The sequence below is a fragment of the Homo sapiens genome, chromosome 9 (genome assembly GCF_000001405.40).
Source record: "Homo sapiens chromosome 9, GRCh38.p14 Primary Assembly".
Taxonomy (NCBI): domain Eukaryota; kingdom Metazoa; phylum Chordata; class Mammalia; order Primates; family Hominidae; genus Homo; species Homo sapiens.
The window spans coordinates 63,133,593-63,157,870 of record NC_000009.12 but is presented as its reverse complement, the minus strand read 5'-3'; the positions used below and the strand labels follow the sequence as shown (position 1 = coordinate 63,157,870).

The following is a 24,278-nucleotide window of genomic DNA, read 5'->3' as shown; positions in this document are numbered from 1 at the left end:
TAAATGTCTTCTTTTGAGAAGTGTCTGTTCATGTCCTCCGCCCACTTTTTGATGGGGTTGTTTTTTTTTTCTTGTAAATTTGTTTGAGTTCATTGTAGATTCTGGATATTAGCCCTTTGTCAGATGAGTAGGTTGCGAAAATTTTCTCCCATTTTGTAGGTTGCCTGTTCACTCTGATGGTAGTTTCTTTTGCTGTGCAGAAGCTCTTTAGTTTAATTAGATCCCATTTGTCAATTTTGTCTTTTGTTGCCATTGCTTTAACTCATTTTATGAGGCCAGCATCATTCTGATACCAAAGCCAGGCAGAGACACAACAAAAAAAGAGAATTTTAGACCAATATCCTTGATGAACATTGATGCAAAAATCCTCAATAAAATACTGGCAAAACAAATCCAGCAGCACATCAAAAAGCTTATCCACCATGATCAAGTGGGCTTCATCCCTGGGATGCAAGGCTGGTTCAATATATGCAAATCAATAAATGTAATCCAGCATATAAACAGAGCCAAAGACAAAAACCACATGATTATCTCAATAGATGCAGAAAAAGCCTTTGACAAAATTCAACAACCCTTCATGCTAAAAACTCTCAATAAATTAGGTATTGATGGGATGTATTTCAAAATAATAAGAGCTATCTGTGACAAACCCACAGCCAATATCATACTAAATGGGCAAAAACTGGAAGCATTCCCTTTGAAAACTGGCACAAGACAGGGATGCCCTCTCTCACCACTCCTATTCAACATAGTTTTGGAAGTTCTGGCCAGGGCAATTAGGCAGGAGAAGGAAATAAAGGGTATTCAATTAGGAAAAGAGGAAGTCAAATTGTCTCTGTTTGCAGATGACATGATTGTATATCTAGAAAACCCCATTGTCTCAGCCCAAAATCTCCTTAAGCTGATAAGCAACTTCAGCAAAGTCTCAGGATACAAAATCAATGTACAAAAATCACAAGCATTCTTATACACCAACAACAAACAAACAGAGAGCCAAATCATGAGTGAACTCCCATTCACAATTGCTTCAAAGAGAATAAAATATCTAGGAATCTAACTTACAAGGGATGTGAAGGACCTCTTCAAGGAGAACTACAAACCACTGCTCAAAGAAATAAAAGAGGATACAAACAAATGGAAGAACATTCCATGCTCATGGGTAGGAAGAATCAATATCGTGAAAATGGCCATACTGCCCAAGGTAATTTACACATTCAATGCCATCCCCATCAAGCTACCAATGACTTTCTTCACAGAATTGGAAAAAACTACTTTAAAGTTCATATGGAACCAAAAAAGAGCCCGCATTGCCAAGTCAATCCTAAGCCAAAAGAACAAAGCTGGAGGCATCACACTACCTGACTTCAAACTATACTAGAAGGCTACAGTAACCAAAACAGCATGGTACTGGTACCAAAACAGATATATAGATCAATGGAACAGAACAGAGCCCTCAGAAATAATGCCACATATCTACAACTATCTGATCTTTGACAAACCTGAGAAAAACAAGCAATGGGGAAAGGATTCCCTATTTAATAAATGGTGCTGGGAAAACTGGCTAGCCATATGTAGAAAGCTGAAACTGGATCCCTTCCTTACACCTTATACACAAATCAATTCAAGATGGATTAAAGAGTTAAACGTTAGACCTAAAACCATAAAAACCCTAGAAGAAAACCTAGGCATTACCATTCAGGACATAGGCATGGGCAAGGACTTCATGTCAACAGTCTTAAAGAAAAGAATTTCCAGCTCAGAATTTCATGTCTGGCCAAACTAAGCTTCATGAGCAAAGAAGAAATAAAATCCTTCTCAGACAAGCAAATACTGAGGGAATTCATCACAACCAAGACTGCCTTGCAAGAGCTCCTAAAGGAAGCACTGAATATGGAAGGGAAAAACCATTACCGGCCACTACAAAAACACAGTAAAGTACACAGACCAATAATATTATGAAGCAACAACATTAACAAGTCTGCAAAATAACCAGATAGCATCATAATCACAGGACCAAATTCACACATAAGAATATTAACCTTAAATGTAAATGGACTGAATGTCCCAATTAAAAGACAAAGACTGGCAAACTGGATCGTCAAGACCCACCAGTGTGCTGTATTCAGGTGAACCATCTCATATGCAAAGACACACATAGGCTCAAAATAAAGAGATGGAGGAAAATTTACCAAGCAAACAGAAAGCAGGAAAAGGAGGGGTTGCAATTCTAGTGTTTGAGAAAACAGGCTTTAAATCAACAAAGATAAAAAAAGACAAAGAAGGGAATTACATAATGGTTAAGTATTCAGTTCATCAAGAAGAGGTAACTATCCTAAATACACATGCACCCAATTTTAGAAGACCCAGATTCATAAAACAAGTTCCTAGAGATCTACAAAGACATTTAGACTCTCACATAATAATAGTGGGAGACTTTAACACCCCACTGTCAATATTAGACAAATTATCAAGACAGAAAGTTAACAAGGATATTCAGGACTCAAACAGCTGTAGATCAAGTGGACCTGATAAGTATCTACAGAACTCTCCATTCAAAAACAACAGAATATACATTCATCTTGGAGCTACATGGCACTTACTCTAAAATCGATCACATAATTGGAAGTAAAACACTCCTCTGCAAATGCAAAATAACTAAAATCTTGATAGTCTCTCAGACCACAGTACAATCAAATTAGAACTCAAAATTAAGAAACTCACTCAAAACCACACAACTACATAGAAATGTAACATCCTGCTTCTGAATGACTACTGGGTAAAAAATGAAATTAAGGCAGAAGTCAAGAAGTTATTTAAAACTAATGAGAACAAAGAGACAATGTCCCAGAATCTCTGGGATACAGCTAAAACAGCATTGAGGGAAATGTATAGCACTAAATATCCACATGAGAAATATCTCAAGTCAACTTCCTAACATCACAGTTTAAAGAACTAGAGAACCAAGAACAAACAAACCCCAACGCTAGCAGAAGGCAAGAAATAAGTAAGATCAGAGCAAAACTAAAGGAGATTGAGACAGGAAAAACCCTTCAAAAAATCAACAAATCCAGGAACTGTTTTTTTGAAAAAAATTAACAAAATAGACTTTTAGCTACACTAATAAGAAAAGAGAGAAGATCAAATAGACACAATAAAAAATGATAAAGGGGATATGAACACTGAGTTTACAGAAATACAAACAACCATCAGAGAATACTATAAACACCTCTATGCAAATAAATTAGAAAATCTAGAAGAAATGGATAAATTCCTGGACACATAAACTCCCAAGATTGAACCAGGAAGAAGTTGAATCCCTGAATAGACCAATAACAAGTTCTGAAATTAAGGCAGTAATATATAGCCTACCAACCAATGAAAGACCAGGACCAAATGGAATTATGGTGGAATTCTACCAGATGTACAAAGAGGAGCCAGTGCTATTTCCTCTGAAACTATTCCAAATGATTGAAGAGGAGAGACTCCTCCCTAATTCATGTTATGAGGCCAGCATCATCCTGATACCAAAGCCTGGGAGAGATACAACAAAACAAGACAACTTCAGGCCAATATCCCTGATGAACATCGATGCAAAAATCCTCAATAAAATACTGGCAAGCCAAATCCAGCAGCACATCCAAAAGCTTACCCACCACAATCAAGTTGGCTTCATCCCCGGGATACAAGGCTGTTTCAACATATGCAAATCAATAAATGTAATCCATTACATAAACAGAACTAAAGATAAAAACCTCATAATTATCTCAATAGATGCAGAAAAGGCCTTTCAACAACACTTCATGTTAAAATTCAACATCCCTTCATTTTAAAAACTCTCAATAAACTAGGTATTGAAGGACCATACCTCAAAATATTAAGAGCCATTTATGACAAACTAACAACCCATATCATACTGAATGGGAAAAAGCTGCGAGCATTTTCATTGAAAAGAGGCACATGACAAGGATGCTCTTTCTTACCACTCCTATTCAACATATTATTGGAAGTTCTGGCTAGAACAATTAAGCAAGAGAAAGAAACAAATGGTTTTCAAATAGGAAGAGAGGAAGCCAAATTGTCTCTGCAGATGACATGATCCTTTATCTAGAAAACCCCATTGTCTCAACCCCATTGTCAGCAAAATCTCAGGATAAAAAATCAATGTGTGAAAATCACAAGGATTCCTACACACTAACAACAGACAAGCAGAGAGCCAAATCATGAAAGAACTCCAATTCCACAATTGTTACAGAGAATAAAATACCTAGGAATACAGCTAAGAAGGGAAGTGATAGAAAGAATCAATATGATTAAAATGGCCATACTACCCAAAGTAATTTATAGATTCAATGCTATTCCCCTTATACTAACATTGACATTTTTCACAGAATTAGAATAATCTGTTTTAAAATTCATATGGACAAAAAAGAGCCTGTAGAGCCAAGATAATATTAAGCAAAAATAGCAAAGCTGGGGGGATCATGCTACCTTACTTCAAACTACACTACAAGGCTACCAAACCAGCATGTAAACAAAACAGCATAGTGGTGGTGCAAAAACAGACTCATAGACCAATAGAACAGAATTGAGAACTCAGAAATAAGACCACACAGCTACAACCATCTGATCTTCAACAAACCTGACAAACACAAGTAATGGGGAAAGGATTTTCTATTTAATTAATGGTGCTGGAAGAACTATGGAAGAACTTTAGCCATATGCAGAAAATTGAAACTGGACCCCCTTCCTTACACGTTATACAAAAATTAGCTCAAGATAGGTTAAAGACTTAAGTGTAAAATCCAAAACTATAAAAACCCTAGAAGAAAATCTAGGCAATACCATTCAGGACATAGGCATAGGCAAAGATTTCATGACAAAAATGCCAAAAACAATAGCAACAAAAGCAGAAATTAACAAATGGGGTCTAATTAAACTAAAGAGCTTCTGCTCAGCAAAAGAAACTATCATCACAGTGAACAGACAACCTACAGAATGGGAGAAAAATTTGCTATTTATCCATCCGACAAAGGTCTAATATCCAGAATTTACAGGGAACTTAAACAAATTTACAAGAAAAAAACAGACAATCCTATTAAACAGTGGGCAAAGGACACGAACAGGCACTTCTCAAAAGAAGACATTTATGTGGCCAACAAACATGCAAAAAAAAAGTTCAACATCACTAATCATTAGAGAAATGCAAATCAAAACCACAATGAGATACCATCTCACACTAGTCAGAATGGTGATTATTAAAAAGTCAAGAAACAACTGATACTGTTGAGGCTGCAGAGAAATAGGAATGCTTTTACACTGTTGGTAGGAATGTAAATTAGTTCAACCATTGTGGAAGACTGTGGCAATTCCTCGAAGTCCTAGAACCAGAAATACCATTTGACCCAGCAATCCCATTACTAGGTATGTACCCAAAGGAATATAAATCATTTTATTATAAAGATACATGCATGTGTGTGTTCATTGCAGCACTATTCACAATAGCTAATACATGAAATCAACCCAAATGCCCATCAATGATAGACTGGGCAAATAAAATGTGGTACATATACAACATGGAATACTATGCAGCCATAAAAGGAAATGAGATCAAGTCCTTTGCAGGGACATGGATGGAGCTGAAAGCCATTATCCTCAGCAAACTAATGCAGGAACAGAAAACCTTGAAATATGAGCTATAATGAGGGGCACTAGAGGTACTTGGCTTTAAAAAGACATAGGTGCAGTGACATGATGTTAGTTACATAGCCTTTGAAGTCATGTTGTGTGAAAGAGCAGTTGGATATTGACGTTGGCTACCAAAACCAATGGGTAGGCATTTAGATTTTGGTTCACTAGAAAACCTGAACTATCTATCGATTAAGCTCTCAAAAACTAAATAGACTGCTGCCTCCTAAATAAAATATGTCTCCCACTGTGGAAATGTCATTGATTTTCAATTTGTATAGCTTTTATTATTATTATTATTGTAAGGCCAGGAATGACAACTTCTGAGCCCTTCACATGTTGGTGATAAATCCAAAAGTCCTGTAATGTATTTGTTTTCTCATTTTTTAAAACCAAATATTTGAAGCTATTTTATTAAGGGTTTCCTTTTCCTCAAAAAGTAAATGCATTAAATATAATCTAGATAGTCTACACTCATGAGAAAGATATTTCATTGTATATAACCAGAGCTATAGGCCTACAAACATTTGGACTTTATCAGAGGTAAATAATAAGAGATAATACTATTCGTTAAAATTAAAGTATAAATTTAGATCATTATTTTTAATTGGTTATTTTTTAAAGCTGACATAACTTTAATTTACAATGTAAACTCAGGAGTGAAAGAGCATTAAGTAACTCATGATCTGTAAAGAAAATTTCAAAATTTAAGGTAAGTAATGAGATTTCCCCATATTTCTGTGTTTAATTCATCAATGTTTTTAAAATACTTAAACCAGCTAAGAAGTGTGTTCAGGTTTCTATTTATTTTAAAAGTGACTTACGTATTTTTCTCACAAGGGAGGATGATTGTAGAGGAGATTAGAGCCTGCATCGTGGTTCCAAGTTAGCATCACCGTTCCTGGTCCTTCCATCTTTCTGCTTAGTCATATTTAACTTGTGTTTATTTCTTCATGATCAGAATATGTGTCTTTCTCAACTATCATATGTATGTTCTAGGTAGAAAGGAGAAAAACAAGAATTTATGTTGTTCTGTCAAATTATAGAAAGTTTATTTGATAATAAATCAACTGTTAAAAAGTACCCCTTAAAAGTATAGTAAGTATACAATATTAAAAGAAAGCATGGGACTTTGCACAATTGTGAAATCTATTGAGAATTTTGTAAGTTTTTAAATTTTGATCTGTGCTGTCATTTATTAATTCAGTCAAAATTTGCTTCAAAAACACATAGTTGTCAGAATATGTAAGTTCCTTAGAAGAGTGCAATCTATAAGTAAAATAATTCTGAATATTCATCTGAAATAGTTTGAAAAGGTTTTGAAAATCTACTGTCTCTCTTATTTCTTGTAATCAACATATTTCTCAATAGGAAAATTCACCATTTGCCATCAAAATGTATTGTCTGAAACTTCCACTGGAACCTTCATATGGCAAAATATTTAGGCATTCTGAGGAGATGCAAAGTTTGTTAAGCAGAATAAATGTGTTTTAATATTTAATAATTATAAATGATATTTGGAAAATTATAAAGATGTTCTTAGTTCAATTAATAGAGTAAGATTTATATATCTATTAAGAGTGCTGGGCCAGACAGGGTGGCTCACGCCTATAACCCCAGCACTTTGGAAGCCCGAGGCGGGAGGATCACCTGAGGTCAGGAGTTTGAGACCAGCCTGGCCAACATGGTGAAACCCCATCTCTACTAAAAATACAAAAATTAGCAGAGCATGGTGGTGCTTGCCTGTAATCCCAGCTACTGAGGAGGCTAAGGCAGGAGAATTGCTTAAACTCGGACATTTCAATGAGCTGAGATCTAGCCACTGCATTCCAGCCTGGGCAACACAGTGAAACTCCGTCTCAAAACAAAACAAAAAAAAACAAAAGTGCAGACAACACATTATAATCAATATTAAAAGTTTTTATGTTGAAAGATGGATAAGAATTAAAACTTTGATTTTTCAACTGAGATATTTAGTTGAGATATTTGAAATTACTGGAAAGCAAAAGGAAATTTTAATGTACTGCGGAGTAGCCTAGGGTAGTATGTGTATGTATTTCTACTAAATGCAAAAGAAAGTACCAGATAAAAATGCAATAGGCTTCTACTTCTAGTTCAGGATGGGAAAAGATGGGGAAGACCAAAAAAGATCTGCATAATGCACAAATCCATGTGATTTCTGAAGGGAGTGGACACGATCAGTCTTGATAAACTGATAACTAGTTAGTGGATCTGCAGGTTTCATCTGTGGTATTTTCTTTTAGATGATTTGTGTAGTGACTAAAAAACAGTCAATACATTTAAATAAACTGCACATTGTGCACATGTACTCTAAAACTTAAAGTATAATAAAAAAATAATACAATAAATAAATAAACTTATTTTCTGGTTTAGTAATTGAGGTTGGCCAATGTCTATTATTAATTGTTAACTATTTCCTAATCAATAATCTGTCTTATATTAAACTGTACATACACATTACAAGAAATTTGAGTTACACTCACACATAACTGAATAACATATTTAATGCTTATATAGGCATGCATATAATGTTAAAATCTAGATATAAAAATAAGAAAATGAAACCATAATTTTTAAGTAATGGAACTTGTTCCAAAAAATCAAATGTGGTTATGCATTGGTATGACAATTCTGAATCCTGCCCTCAGGCAGCATCTGAACACTGTTTTATTAGCTATCAATAAATTGTCTGCACTGCAGGCCGATGATGGTTTAAGGACAGCAGTGTTAATAATAATGTTCAAAGTGTCAGTCTGGAGGGGAGGCAATAATTGACTGTATGAGACTATTAAGCTATAAAAACAATGTTTTATTTTGAGCATCAAAATATGATAGACAGAGCTTCAAATGCTCTTGGTGAAGTCATTATTAACACATACAAAACTGATTTTCATTCAACATTTACTGTAGAGAAAATTATATTCCATCAGGCTTTAAAATTGAGAAGAAAACAGAAAGAGTAAGTCTTAAATGCCTTTCTTCCTCACCTTCCTCCTTCACCTAGTTTGCCTGCGGACCTACACTGTTACATTCCCACATACCTCCTGTGTGTATTTCTTTGCAGATCATTTACCTTACATTTCTACATTTCCCCTTAATTTTTTCCTCATCAATAGATGAGAAAAAAAATTTGTTAAATCATGGTAGATGAATATGGACCAGATCATCCCATGAACTACGTTCAATCATTGGTTTTACCTTTCAAAAAATTCTGAATGAAATATGTAATAATTTAATATTCTAAAACTTTATTTTTTCAGGAATATTTACATATATTCACCCTTCCTTCTAAAACAGTGGCCAGAGCAGTTAGAAAACAAAAGCATGAGAAACAGTAACTCTTACAGTTGTATTATGCCTGTATGCCTCCCCAGTTCTGCAAAGATTATGAGGATTTTTTTAGGTCTGTACATAGTTTTAAAATATCCTAAAACAATCCACATAAATAAACTCATTACCATAATAATCTGCAAGATAGACATTGTCATCCTCAAGTAATATCAAATAAATCTTATTTGCCTGCAAGATCTGAATCTGAAAATCCCAAAGCTCAAGTTTACCTAGCTAATAGGTAGTAAGACTGGGGCCTCAATCTGGTTTATCTAATTCTGAAAAGTGTTTTGCTATAAAAGCACTATAGGAAATAAAACATTAGACTTTATACCTTTAGATAATAAGAATATTTATGTCATTGAACCTGAAAAGATACTGTTTAACTTTCATGTTCTACTTGTCATTTTTCTTTTCTGCTTTTATATGTAATTTAGGTAATAGATACCCAGGAATCAACTTAAATTCCCATCAGTGGTAGACTGGAAAAAGAAAGTACGGTACATATACACCATGAATTACTATGCAGCCATAAAAAAGAATGAGATCTGTCCTTTGCGGCAACATGGATGGAGCTTGGAGGCCATTATCCTTAGCAAAGTAACACAGGATCAGAAAACCCAATACTCCCTATTTTCACTTATCACTGGGAGCTAAATAATGAGAACACATTGACAGAAAGAGCAGCACAATAGACACTAGGGTGTGCTTGAGGGAGGAGGATGAGAGATGGGTGAGGTTCAGGGAAAAAAAAATTGTTGGGTACTATGCTTACTACTCAGGTGACAAAATAATCTGTACATCAAACCCCTGAGTCACGAATTTACCTAAAGAACAAACCTCCACACGTTCCCATGAACCTAAAATAAAAGTTAAAATATTTAAAATAATAATAATAATTTAAAAATGTGAAATGTTGTGATAATTACTAAAATGTCAAATAGAGACACAAGGTGAGCACGTTGTTGGAAAAATAGAATGAATAGACTTGCTTGATGCAAGATTGCCACAAACCTTCAATTTGTGAAAAATGTGTTATTTGTGAAGAGCTATAAAGTGAAGCACACGCAAAAAAAGTGAGTTTGATTAATGCAATTCATTGTTGCTGAAAGATACCTTGAAATATGAGCTATAATGAGGGGCACTAGAGGTACTTGGCTTTAAAAAGACATAGGTGCAGTGGCATGATGTTAGTTACATAGCCTTTGAAGCCATGTTGTGTGAAAGAGCAGTTGGATATTGACGTTGGCTACGAAAACCAATGGGTAGGCATTTAGATTTTGGTTCAGTAGAAAATCTGAACTATCTATCGATTAAGCTCTCAAAAACTAAATAGACTGCTGCCTCCTAAATAAAATATGTCTCCCACCATGGAAATGTCAAGCTAGGGTCACAATTCAAGTAATGTATATATGGATCTAATGACTTCCAAGATGCTTCTCCAACTTAAAGTTTTAGACAAGTACCTTTTAAAACAGTATACCATTTGAATTACCTGCAACCATTTTAATATTTCTGAGAGGGTTTTTTTTGTGTGTGCTCCTTCTGTCATCACATGGAGAGTTATTTTGCCTTTTAGGGTAAAATATAAAAACAAATGCACGTCACAATATGATGTGGCAAACGTTACCCAGAAGCCTTAGTGATGTTGTTGCGATGGTATTAGCATGCACAGAGTATGCAACTCGCAGCTCTGCTGTGTGCACTTGTTCTTTTGCTTTCTCTCATGTGTTCTGCTCCATATATTTTAAGAGAGTTTAATGTGGGTGTTCCAATTCAATCCCATTAGAGTACTATGTATATTATTGTTACTAAACCTTGCCTTCATAATCATTCCTATGTATGTGGTCTATTGAAAAGCAATCATTTATATCTTTAGGAGGATGAATGGGAAGTCACAGATCTAGAACAATAATCAACTTGAACTCATGCTGCTAGCACAGGTATGGATTTTTAATATAATCTCAGGCAGGGAAGTGCTTGTAGGCATGTTTTCTCAGTCAGGAGCTGAGAGCATATGCACGATGGCAGACACAAGGTAACTACCCTTTGGCTGGTTGAAAGATGAAGTCGTTATAAAGCTGGATTTTAAACCAAATGCAGTGCTGGCTGCTGTCTGGACTTACCTAAAACATACACTATATTTTAAAAAGAAGGCTGAGAGTCACAGAAGTAAAACAAATAAATTCCAAAGTTGGTGTTTTATATTATCATTTATCTGCAATAAGTGATAATTGATATTCCAAAAATATACTTTGCTTTGAATTCAAATTGTTTATTTTGAACAATTAGTGAGTTCATCTCTGCACATGCCTAAAGAAGATAAATCAATAAATAAAAGAATAAAAATTAAAACTCTATATAATAAACACTTGATTTCTTAGTCCTGATTTCTCTTTTATTATGAAGACCAGAAGCAGAATGTTATTCTATTTTACCTAAAAATATATATATGATCTTTAGAAACTCCTTGTCAGCAATCATCTATCTGTGTGTGGGTGTATATATATATATATATATATATATATATATATATATATATATACACATATATATATATCTCATACAAACAATATGTATCACATTTATATGTTATCAAGCACAATCATATAATAAACCCACAAATGTCCAACTCCAAAACTAGAAAATTATTAATAGCTTGTACTACTCCTGTGTTCTTCCCCATCTGCCTGTAGGAATTATTTCTTTTTCTAAAATAGTTTTCTTACATACATATATATATCAAATAATGTGTTTTTGCTTATTTTTCAGCTACAAGATTGTGTCACACTGTATATAGTCTACCGTATTACTTTTTTTTTTTTTTTTTGAGAGGCAGTCTCACTCTGTCACCCAGGCTGGAGTGCAGTGGCACAATCTCCATTCACTGCAACCTCCGCCTCCCGGGTTCAAGGGATTCTCTCCTGCCTCAGCCTTTTGAGCAGCTGGGATTACAGGTGCCCAACTACACCAGGCTTTTTTTTTTTTTGAGACCGAGTCTCGCTCTGTCGCCAGGCTGGAATGCAGTGATGTGATCTTGGCTCACTGCAACCTCCGCCTCCCAGGTTTAAGCAGTTCTCCCACCTCAACCTCCCGAGTAGCTGGGACTACAGGTGTGTGCCATAACACCCGGCTAATTTTTGTATTTTTAGTAGAGACAGGGTTTCACCATGTTGGCCAGGATGGTCTTGATCTCTTGACCTCGTGATCCACCCACCTTGGCCTCCCAAAGTGCTGGGATTACAGGTGTGAACCACCACACCCAGCTACTGTATTACTTTTTATGCTTCCAGAATTTTTCTGTGTTGTTGCAGGTGTCTGTTGTGCCTTAATTTTTGCTATTGTAGAGGATTCTATTATGTGCAATTGCGCAGCAGTGTATGTATCTGTTCCCCTGTGGATGGACATTTGGGTTGTGTCCAGTGTCTCTTGACCACCTACCTTGTGCCATGCCCCCGACCCTCCTGCCATTACTCCACAATCTAGCTACATCCACAAAGCCATGACTTCACAAAACCCTGTCTTCCACTTCTGAGCTCCAGACCATATAAAAGGCGTAATGGTGTTTATTGAGCACTTACTCTGAGCTAGAAACGATTCTCAACATTTTACATGTGGTAGCGCATTTAATATTCACAGCAACACAAATGGGAAGTAATATTCTTATCACCGTTTTACAAATGAGAAGACCAAGGCCCAGAAGAGTTGAATATCTTGCTCAAGATCACACACCTTTTGCCACCCCCCATTCCAAGTCCCATAGGCAACTCAGACTCAGCACATCCATGATGTAACTTATCATCTTCCTCTCCAAACCATTTCCTCATTTGTGCCCTACTCTCAGTGGGGACATCTCCAATCCCCGGGCCCAAGCTGGAAACCGGAAGCCATTTCTGACTCCTCCCTCACCCACTCCATCCAAATGGAGCCCAAGTCCTGTACATTGTACTTCTCGGGTATTGATCAATCCCGGCCCTTGTCTCCACGCCCACGGTGCTGACCCATTGTTAGGTGCCCGGCTGCTGCTCCTGGGTCATCACTTCCCAGCACTCTCTTCGCAGGCCCATCTCCACCATTTCCAGCATCCTACACACTGCGGCTCAGGTGTGCTTTCTAAACCTCACCTCACCATGTCCCCACCTCCAGAATGAAGCCCAGCCTCCTCTGCCCATCCCCTCAAACTGTAAAGTGCAGATCCCAGCCCCAAAAAGGACACCCCCCACCACAATACCCTGCTCTGTCTCCTCCTCTGGGAAACCTCCTGGCCTTGGCCCAGAGGCTGGATGTGAGCTCCCCCACCCCAAGCCCCACAGCCTCCAAGCCTCCCACTCTGCACTCACCTTCTTCCTTATAATTACCTGTCACCCATTAAACTGCAACCCTCAAAGGCAGAGCCCAGTGCATCCACTGCGCATCCCCAGTGTCCAGGCAGGGCCTGCACACAGTAGGTGCACAATAATTGTTGAAAGGCAAAATACATGAGCAATGACAGGAACCATGGGTGATACTGCCTTCTGAGCCCCAGGCAACAGAGTGATTCCTGCCTGGCCCCAGGGTCAGTGGATCCTGGCCCCTCACCCCACCCAACCTCTGCAGCTGCTTCCCTGGAGCCCTTGGAGCCCTAAGAGGCCTCTTCCTGTGTCTTCATGTGTTCGAAGGATTTCCCTCTTTGCATCTTCCTTTCCTATTCCTTCATGTGGGAGCACTCTGGCACCAGGAAGAAGAAAGAGGAGCCCAACCCCTTACCAGCCTTCAATCTATAACAAGCATTCTCAAGGGAATTAAAACTGATTCTTAAAAGGGGAGGTGAAAAAAAATCTTACTCTTTTTTACGTATAAAGCACAGAACATATACAGAACATAAACAGATGTATAGTATATCTGTGGTATTAAAATTTCATGTGATTAAGAAAAAAAATCTGGAAGAATACTAGGGAAGGCACTAATGAAAAAAAGGCTAAAAAATTCTGATCTACCTTCTTGGGCCATGCCTTGTCTGGTCCAAGAACCGGCCAGAACTCGGGGAAGGGAACAACCAGGGGAGAGTCTAGAGTCCAGTCTCAGGATCCCCTCAAAGTATTTCCAAAGCCAGCCCCCCACCAGTCAGCTACAGTCCTTTCACCAAAACTGCCCTTCCTTCCCCCTTGCCTGAAAATCCCTCATTCTGTTTCTGTCATTCTTTCATCTTACCTTGTTCCTACTGAGGGCGCAGGTCAGCTCTTCCCCATTCTCCCCCTGGGGCACCCCAGTTCCCAGGGCATGAAAGACTTGAGGTGCCTCACCTCTACACCTTGGGCTAAGACATAGCCCTAGAGCTCCTGGAAGAACCCAGGAGGGAAGCCCAACCACAGGAGGCCCCCAGGAAGTGGGGGTACTGCTGTGGGACAAGCTTCTCTTTATTGGGGAAGGGATGGGATCACAACTAATCTCTGCTTAGAAGTGCTCTAGGGCCATGGATTCATGTAAGGGTGGGGCAGGGTGGACTGAAGATCTGTTGGCAGGGCTCACGGAGATGAGGGTAAGGGGAGAGATCATGGGTTCATGAGATCCCATCTTGGGCAATACGGTTATCCCGTGGTCTTCATATGCCACAGAGTCCTCCAATTTCAGGGGCTCCCGTGGGATGGTGGAGCCAATGAAGACCAGGTAGATGATGCCACCTAGAGAGGCACCCAGAAGTGGTGCCACCACTGGCACCCACCACAAGTTCTCCCCATCGCTGCAGGCAAGAGGCAGAGGCCGGCTGAGGGGGCTGATGCCCAGGACAGCACCCTCATCCACCTCGGGCCAAGACTGGTTGAGCAGAGGAGTCATCCTCAGGCTAACCCAGGAAACACCCCCAACCCGGGGCCCTGGTCAGCCTCAGCCCGATTCAGGGACAGGGTTGACACTCAGTGCAGGTGCAGGATCTGTATCTGTACTGGCCTGGGGAAATGTTGGGACTCACTCCTGCTCCCCAGGCCACCTGGGGGCTCTGCAGGACCCTCCTGTGCTGCCCCTCACATCACCCCCCACACCTCAACACACAGGGGCCCCACAGAAAATCTCAAAGGAATGGGCCTGGGCAGGGGCAGTACCTGAAGACCAGTTTGCCCCAACCAGCAATGAAGGTGAAGATGCGGGGGGGCAGGTCCCGGGACGGATTGATGGCATATCCTGTGTTCATGCCATGGTACACCCTGATGATGACCACGAGGATGCCTATCACCAGTGCGTGTGTTCCTGGCAGTGCTGGGTTGTTCTCCTGGTCCACGATGGCGAAGAGACACAGCTGGAGCATCCCGGTCAGCCACTCCTGAGGAGCAGATGCTGTGGAAGCTCACCTGGGCCCCTCCCCAAGCCACAGGACCTCGGCAGTGCCCCAGACCCAAGCCCACCAGCAGAGACACATCTTGGTACAGTCTCCATCCAGAGTTCTTGTCCTGTCTATCCGGAGGGACTCCCTGCTGGCTCCGTCCTGAGGGGTGGAGGGCAGGGGGAGGGGTACTCATCCTGGACCACTGACCTCATTCAGGAAGCCCCGCCACAATGTCATGTGATCAGGAAGGTAGGTGGCAAAAATGCCAGCTGTAGCAACGGGACCGGTCACCATCAGCTCTCCACCCGAAAAGTGGAGAATGGCCGCTGTGGAGACACAGACTATCATGCGAACCTGTCCCCAACTAAGCCCCACCAGGGTCCCGGAAATTAGGTTATAGGTTAGAGGGTGGGAGACCTCCAAGGCTTTTTTCTCCCAGCTATTTTTTACAAATCAGGACACTGAGGTCCAATCTGCCCATATTTCATAGGAGGCAGCTGAGGCCAGAGGCGGACACCCGGGCAGGACGCTCACTGTAGAAGAGACTGTAGATGGTGGCAGCTGCCAGGAAGGAGCCCAGGAACTGCCCCAGCACATATACTGGAAACTTCCTCCAGGGCACACGGCCCAGTGCACAGTTAGTGAGGCTCACAGCTGCGTTCATGTGGGCTCCTGCGGGCAGCAGGCAAGTGTGTCAGGGAGTGAGAGCAGAACAAACAACAGTGACAAACAGTATGAGAACAACGATGGCTAGTGTGTATGACAGCATGCTCCGTGACAGAGTTCTCTCCTTGAGCCCTCACAACCACCCCGTGAGGCAGGGGCCACCGTCTTCCTTTCACTCTTAAGGAAACTGAGGAACACAGAGGCGATGGCTTGCCTAAGATCACCCAGCCAGTGAAAATGGTAGGTCGGGGGGGCCAGGAAGAATCTGGGGCAGACACGTCATAGGCACGGGCTTCAGAGGAGACTTCCTCCCACCCGGTGGCCAGGCTGAGGCACTGGCTGTGCTGGCAAAGGAGCTGGCTGAGGCGGGCAGGAAAGAGCCTGTTGGGGACACCTGGTCTTGCCCGGTCCGGCAGGGCCTGGGCTCACTCACCAGAGGTGCGGCCTGCCATGTGCACTCCCATGGTGACTCCGAAGCCAAAACCCAAGTTGACACCAAGGTAGCTCCCAAATGTTTTATTTAGAAGCATATGGGCCACGGAACCAAGGCCGAATACCTACAAGGGAGGGCCTCTAAGGGGGCTGCCTTCCCAGAAGCCCCAACCTCAGAGGAGGGCTCAGAGCTCAGTTCTAGCTCCTCACCCCCATGCCCTGGGCCTCCCTGGCGTTGCCTCGAAGACCCTCTGCCATGCCCTCTTCCTCCAGAGCCTTCCCTCCTCACTGCCTCCTCTCCTTGCCCCTGCTGAGGCCTCTCAGACCTGAGCCACTGAGAGCCGGGTGGAGCAGCAGAGTTAGAAGCTCTTACTACAAACATCCAAGCACCTCAGCCCCAGGCCCACCTGAAGTTTTGGGGTGAGGCAGGGCTGCAAGGAGGGGATGGCTGGCATGCATTGCACCCCCTCAGAGTCCCTCACACTTCAGGCTGACCTGAAGGAAGTTTCTTCAAGGGACCTCCAAATCCATCCATGCCTGACTCTGCCAGGAACCCCTCCCTACACACACACACTCCACCGCAATTCCCACAATGCTGGAACAGTGGGGCCCTAACTGTCTTGCCCTCAGCTTCATTTCCACTGACCTCAGGCGGCATTCCCAAGCTGCTGCTTCTTGCCCATCCCTCACGGCTCCTCAGATAATGCTGCCTTCACAGGGGAAGGGGCCTACCTTCAGGCCCATTACCCTCAGTCTAGAGCCACTGTTCCCTTCAGCCCTGGCTCCTGTGCTATCCTCTCCCTCTGCAGAGGCCTCCGTCTCCCCCATACCTTCCATCCTCCCATTGATCGGTTCCCACACACTGGAGTCTCATCCTTCCCAGCAAACTGTCCCACCCCTGCCCAGTGTCCTTCTCCAGCTGTGGGTTCCTGGTTGCCCCCTCCCTGTTTCAGTCAGGCTGCAGGAGAGAACACACTGGCCAGCTGCTTCACCCCTTCCCTCGCACCCCCTCCTCAATCTGGCTTCCATTTCCACATGTCACAGACACCAAAGCTCTCTCCAAGGGCTCCAGCAACCTCCTGATTTTCCAAAGGTCTTTTCAGGCATGGTTTTACCACGTAGACAGTCTCAGCTATGCCTGATGCGCTGAAATTCCCGTCATCTCCGTGGGGGAGCCAGATGCCTATTTGCAAATCCCCACTGCAACTCTCCTGGTGTTCCACGGACGTCTCAGGCTCTGTTGAAGGTTCGCCATCTCACAGCACACCTGCTCCTCACTCTATGTTCCCCATCCCCGTTGGCCGAGCCAGAAACTCAGATGTTGCAAATGATAGTTAAGCACTATTATTCTCCCCCACTTGACAGATGGGTAATCTGAAGCTTAGAGAACTTGAATGGCTTGTCCAAGGTCACACAGCCTGTACATGGTGAGCCAGGATTAAATCCAGGCAGTTACCTGTGCCAGATGGCCTCAAACCAAACAACTGCGCTGCTCCATGCATGCCTTGCTTTCTTGTGCCTCTGTTTTATTTGTTTGTTTGTTTGATGCTTGAGATAGGGTTTTGCTCTATCACCCAGGCTGGAGTGCAGTGCCATGATCAGGGCTCATTGCAGCCTCCATCTCCTGGGCTCAAGTGATACTCCCACCTCAGCCTCTCAAGTAGTTGGGACTATGGGCATGTGCCTCGACACGCAGCCAATTTTTTTTTTTTTTTTTTTTGAGACAGTCTTGCTCTGTCGCCCAAGCCGGAGTGCAATGGCGCAATCTCGGCTCACTGCAACCTCCAACTCCCGGGTTCAAGTGATTCTCCTGCCTTAGCCTCCCGAGTAGTTGAGATTATAGGTGCATGCCACCATGCCCAACTATTTTTTTGTATTTTTAGTAGAGACAGGGTTTCACGATGTTGGCCAGACTGGTCTCAAACACCTGACCTCAGATGATCAGCCTGCCTTGGCCTCCCAAAGTGCTGGGATTACAGGCATGAGCCATTGAGCCCTATCCCAGCTAAGTTTTTCAATTTATTTTGTGTAGAGATGAGGTTTCACTATGTTGACCGGGCTGGTCTCGAGCTCCTGGCCTTAAGCAATCCTCTCACCTCAGCCTCCCAGAGTGCTGGGATTACAGGTGTGAGCCACCATGCCTGGCCAGAATATCCTAATAATTTTACATTGATTGCATCTTGAAATAGGATTTTGGCTATATGGGTTAATTATTAAAATTAATTTCACCTGTTGCTTTTTACCTTTTTAATGTGGATACTAGAAAAAATTAAATTATACAGATGGCTTGTATTGTATTTCCCCTGGAGAACTCTGTTCTAGAGTTGATAAAGGAGAAAACCTGAAGAATTGTAGACATAAGGGCCAAAGTCAAAGCCGACAGAGGAGAAGGCCCCAGGAGAGGGTACAAGGTAAGAAGGCAGACCAGGCTGGGTGCGGTGGCTCATGCCTGTAATCCCAGCACTTTGGAAGGCCGAGGTGGATGGATCACTTTAGGTCAGGAGTTCAAGACCAGCATGACAAAACCCCGTCTCTACTAATAATACAAAAATTAGCCAGGCGTGGTGGTGCTTGCCTGTAATCCCGGCTACTCAGGAGGCTGAGACAGGAGAATTGCTTGAACCCAGGAGGTGGAGCTTGCAGTGATCTGAGATCACACCACTGCACTCCAGACTGGGCGACAGAGCAAGACTCCATCTCAAAAAAAGAAAAAAAAAAGAGTTGAAAGGCACCAGTGTAGACTCCTCTTCGAGAATTCGCCTGAGGAGCGGGGAAGAGAGAACATGATCCCGTGAAGGGGCTGACAGGGTGAAGGGAGGGATGTTTCATTTTGTGTTGTTTTCAGTGGAGAAACTTCAGTATGTTTATAGGCTGAGAGAGGGATGGGCTGAAGATAAAGGACAGAGAAAAAGGACAGAGTAAAGTACCTGAATAGGCTGGACAGCTGGATTGGTGCAGAAGTGGAGGTGTCCTCCAGGAAAGAGAGGACCCCACCCCAGCCAAGGGGTGATATGTGGATAGACGGGTGGTTAATGGGTCTGGTGGTAAGAGGGACAAGAGGGTGAGCTGAACATAGGAAGTGTTGATTATTTTACCTATCAAGCAGCAGATCAAGCCATTTGCTGATTTAAAAAAAAAAAAGAGTACAGAGCAGCTTTGGGGAAGTCTGAGAAAATGTGAAATAGCCCAGATATGGTGGGGGAGAGGCAGCTGAGCAGGGCCCACTGGGTCCCTCAGAAGCCCCAGGACAGGAGCAGGGGAGCCCAGAGCTAGGCTGGCTTCAGATCCAGGATAAGATACAACAGGAGAGGACAGGAACAGATGGGGGTGCAGGGGGGAGTGAGGTCAGGACAGGTTGACAGGCTGGCAGGGTCAAGAGGTAGAGGGACTGGAGGAGGCATGGAGGGTCTGAAAACAGAGGGGCCCCCATGGCCTTTCCCGCATTCCAATACCATGTGCTAAAAATACTGGATGAGCATAGGCCAGGTGTGGTGGCTCACGCCTGTAATCCCAGCACTTTGGGAGACCGAGGCAGGCCGATCATGAGGTCAGGAGTTTGAGACCTGCTTAGCCAACATGGTGAAACCCCGTCTCTACTAAAGATACAAAAAATTAGCCAGGTGTGGTGGCACATGCCTGTAATCCCAGCTACTCGGCAGGCTGAGGCAGGAGAATCACTTGAACCCGGGAGGCAGAGCAGTGAGCTGAGATCACACCACTGCACTCCAGCCTGGGCAACAGGGTGAGACTCTGTCTCAAAAAAATAAAATAAATAAAATAAAATACTGGGTGAGTGAATGAACCCCACATGATTCCTTGTGTCAGGGTTGCCAACTGGCAACTCATGCACCTAATTCATCCAGCGCACAGATTTTGTTTAGATAACTTGGTTTTGAAGAACAGAAGTTTCCGTCTCTCTTGAAAAATGAGCAGCTCAAGCAACACTGGCCTGCATTCCACCCTCCATGGCAACAGTCAGCTGGAGTGGCAGCAGCTCTACAGCCTTGCACAGATTGGCACTCTGCAGCCAGCCAAAGTCCCCACCGCCCTGAGTTGCCGCTCTCTTGGCCCCCGTAGCATGTGATCTACAACCCTTGCCCCGTGTCTCATGTGTATGGCTGGTTTTCCAGGGCCCGGATGGCTCCAGCCCCTCCTCTCCCTGATCAGTGAATGTGGCCCAGCCCATCCAACTCTCCCCCACAGCCAGGAGGCCAGCTCCAAGGGCAACACACCTGGAAGCTGCAACACGGATCAGTCCACTTCCCTTGTCCTGGCTGCAATAAATGGGGCCAAGGTCACACTAGCTTTTTTGGCAAAACTTCACCCTGGTGACTCACTGAGATTCCTATATATATATTTACAAAAAAAAAAAAAAAGCCCTCACTTCTTGGCACAGCCTGGCAACTAAAAATAACAACACCACAATATCCGATATAGGCTTACGCCTCACAAAGTTCTTTTACAAGTGCTACTGTCTTCAATCCTCACAACAAATCTGCACAGCAAGAATTTTTCTCCCACTCTATAAATGGGGAAACTGAGGCCGAGAGAGGCATCTTGAACTACCTGAAAGTGAGGACTTTACCCTGGCTGGGGGAGCATTAACAAGCCAGTCTTTAAAAGCTGGCAATATTTAAGCTAAGGTACAGAGCATAGAGGTTAAGGGTCAAGACTGTGATATTGAGCTGGGCACGGTGACTCATGCCTGTAATCCCAGCACTTTGGGAGGCCGAGGTGGGAGGATCACTTGAAGTCAGGAGTTCAAGACCAGCCTTGACAACATGGTGAAACCTTGTCTTTCCTAAAAATACAAAAATTGGCTGGGCATGGTGGCATGCACCTGTAATTCCAGCTACTCCAGAGGCTGAGATGCAAGAATCGCTTGAACCCAGGAGGTAGAGGTTGCAGTGAGCCGAGATTGCACCACTGTGACAAAGCAAGACTGTATCTCAAAAAAACAAAAACAAAAACAAAAAAGACTGTGATATTAGACTGCACTGGATTTAATCTTGACTTAAAGTGTGACCTTGGGCAAAAGGCTTAGTCTCAAGGAGCCTCAGTTTTCCCATCTGTGAAACTGGGATAATAATAGTACCTACTTCACAGGGCTATTGCGAGGATTTGGGAAGATGCTGCACGTAAGGGGCTTAGCATCACAGAGCCCAGGATGCATTAGGTGCTCAATGAAAATCTCAACAAAAGGAAGAGGAACACAGATGTGGGCAGGTATCAAGCATGTGGGCGGTGCCTATTTCCCTAACAGCTCTCAGAGGATGCACCCTCCTGCCTCCGAGGCTCCAAGGGTTAACAGCCCTCATGGGGCTGGAATGTCTTGTGGTAAGTGAATTACTTTGCCCTGGATTAAGGAGGGACAGGATCCAACTGCTGTCCTCACAGCTCAGGAGCCAAAGCAGGTGGGGAGGTAAGAGAGGAGTAGGGGAGGGCCAGAGACAGAGAGGAGACAGCAGCTAGAGCACCCGTCCTAATAACAAGGGACCAATACATGGGTACCACACTGGGTGCTGAGACTTGGCCTTCTTCACACAAGTCCTCCTGTTAACCAATAAGGAAGCTAAAGTTGTGGGCCGGGAGAGGTGACTCACGCCAGCAATCCCAGCACTTTGGGAGGCCGAGGCAGGAAGGTCACCTGAATTCGGGAGTTCGAGACCAGTCTGGCCAACATGGTGAAACCCCATCTCTACTAAAAATAGAAAAATTAGCTGAGCACAGTGGCACATGCCTGTAGTCCCAGCTACTCAAGAGGCTGAGGAAAGAGAGTCACTTGAGTATGGGAGGTGGGGGCTGCAGTGAGCTGAGATCGTACCACTGCACTCCATCCTAGGAGACAGAGTGAGACCCTGTCTCAAAAACAAGAAAGCTAAATTTGTGAACAGTTAAGATACTTGTGGATAGTCGCACAGCTAGAAGATAACAGAGCTAGGATTCAAACACAGCTCCAAAGCCCACGAAGGCCTAATTCTACACGATATAAGTGAGAAGTCAGGCTTTAAGCCAGGGAGAGACCTGCCCAAGGCAACTGGTCACTCAGTGGCAGGGTCAGGCTAAGAAACCTGGTGTTCCAATTCCCTCTCTCCCTTGAGCTCCATGGGCTCCACCACACACACGAACAGCCTCTCTCACCCCACCTTCCTCTAGCATGCACCTGGCTGCCTTTGCCTCCCTTCCCAGAGGCTGCCCCTTCTTTCTCTAGACCCTGGACCCTGCATAAGATGCAATAAACATGGCTACAGTCATGTTAAGGGCAGAGGCTCACTGGGGTAAGTGGCAGGGCTGAAGCAGGTGGAGAGGGAGCAACCTCACATCCCACCTGCAGTCTGGATTCTGTCCCAATCACACACTAAAGAAGAGCCCTTGTCAAGGTTACCAGCAACCTCCACATTGGCAAACCCTAAGGCCCCTTGCCAGTGCTCACTTTGCGTGGCCCATCTGCCGCTGCCCATGCCGCTGACGGCTTCTTCCTGGTGGAACCACTGCCCCCCTCTGTCATGCAGTCGGCTCTGGTTCTCCTCCCACCTCTCTGACCATTCCTTCTCAGGCTCCTTTGCGTGCCCCTCTTCATTCCTCAGGGCTCTGTCCTCAAACCATCCTTTTCTCTTTCTGTACACTCCTTCTAGACAGTGTTGACAACCACCACCTGTGTTGTGATGAACTTCAACTTTTTCCTTCCAGACCAAGCCTCTCCTGAGCTCCAGCCCCTCGCCTGTGTTTAACTATCTCCTGGATTTCCCTACAGGCATCTTGCCTCTCACCCTGTGCTGGGCCCCGTGCTCCAGAACAGCTCATCGGCGCTTTGCCCACATGTTCTGCTGGCAGAGTCTCCCCGATTCCATCTTCCACAGCCCTCTCAAACATGTGCTTTCTTCTCCAACCCCAGATCAGTCATCACCCTCTCTCTGTCCCAGATCAAAAACAGCCTCTTAACTGGTTCCTTCTTGCCAGCCTTGCCTGTCCTGCTTATGCTCCACACTGCACCCAAAATTACCTTTAAAATCCAAATCTGATCATGTCACTCCCCTGCTTGCCAGCCTTCAACATCGCCCATTGCCCTCTGGATTCATTATCAGAGCCTGATCATCAAGTTTCTCTTCAATCTCTCTCTCTTTTTTCTTTTCTTTTTTTTTTTTTTTTTTGAGACAGAGTTTTGCTCCTGTCACCCAGGCTGAGTGCAATGGTGTGATCTCAGCTCACTGCAACCTCCACCTCCTGGGCTCAAGCGATTCTCCTGCCTCAGCCTCCTGAATAACTGAGATTACAGGTGTCCGCCACCATGCCCAGCTAATTTTTGTATTTTTAGTAGAGACGGGGTTTCACCATGTTGGCCAGGCTGGTTTCGAACTCCTGACCTCAGGTGATCCACTTGCCTAAGCCTCCCAAAGTGCTGGAATTACAGGCATGAGCCACTGCACCTGGGCCTCTTCAATCTCTTTACTCTGGGTTTCCCTTCTCCCCATTTCCAGCCTTGCCCCGGATACCCCAGTGCATGGTTTCATTTGACCCCCACATATTATGAGCCCTTTCTGTCCAAAAAGACTTGATGAGAAAGCCCCCCCGCCTTACTTTCCTCGCTGCTTCCCCAGGCTCCCAGCTCAGAGGCAAGGAATGGACAATGTGACCCATGGGGTCAGAATGGGGAGGGGGTCATGGAAGGCCCTGGCAGAGCCCACCCACTTCGTGCTGCCCGCCCACTCACCATCATGACATATGTGCTCATGAACTTGGCCAGGAACTCTCGCGCCATCTTCCTCTCATCTTCCTCGCATCATATTTCCTGGATCTTTGCTATCACGGACCAGGAGACCATTTTGGAGCCACGGGTGGACCTGAT

The 24,278-nt window shown here is 43.6% G+C and overlaps 1 long non-coding RNA gene and 1 pseudogene across 3 annotated transcripts in view; both read right to left on the bottom strand.

Moving 5' to 3' along the window:
- Nucleotides 1-24,278, bottom strand: part of LOC105379814 (uncharacterized) — a 35,297-nt gene that overhangs the window by 3,337 nt on the left and 7,682 nt on the right. Inside the window, exon 3 of one of the 3 annotated variants that reach the window (XR_001746478.3) lies at nucleotides 6,510-6,680. This is a non-coding gene — a long non-coding RNA (uncharacterized LOC105379814). Of the gene's footprint in view, nucleotides 1-6,472; nucleotides 6,681-10,497; nucleotides 10,609-24,278 lie in introns of those variants that run through there. The other 2 variants (XR_007061524.1, XR_001746481.3) reach the window with 2 other exon arrangements.
- On the bottom strand, nucleotides 14,415-24,274 carry AQP7P4 (aquaporin 7 pseudogene 4; annotated as a pseudogene).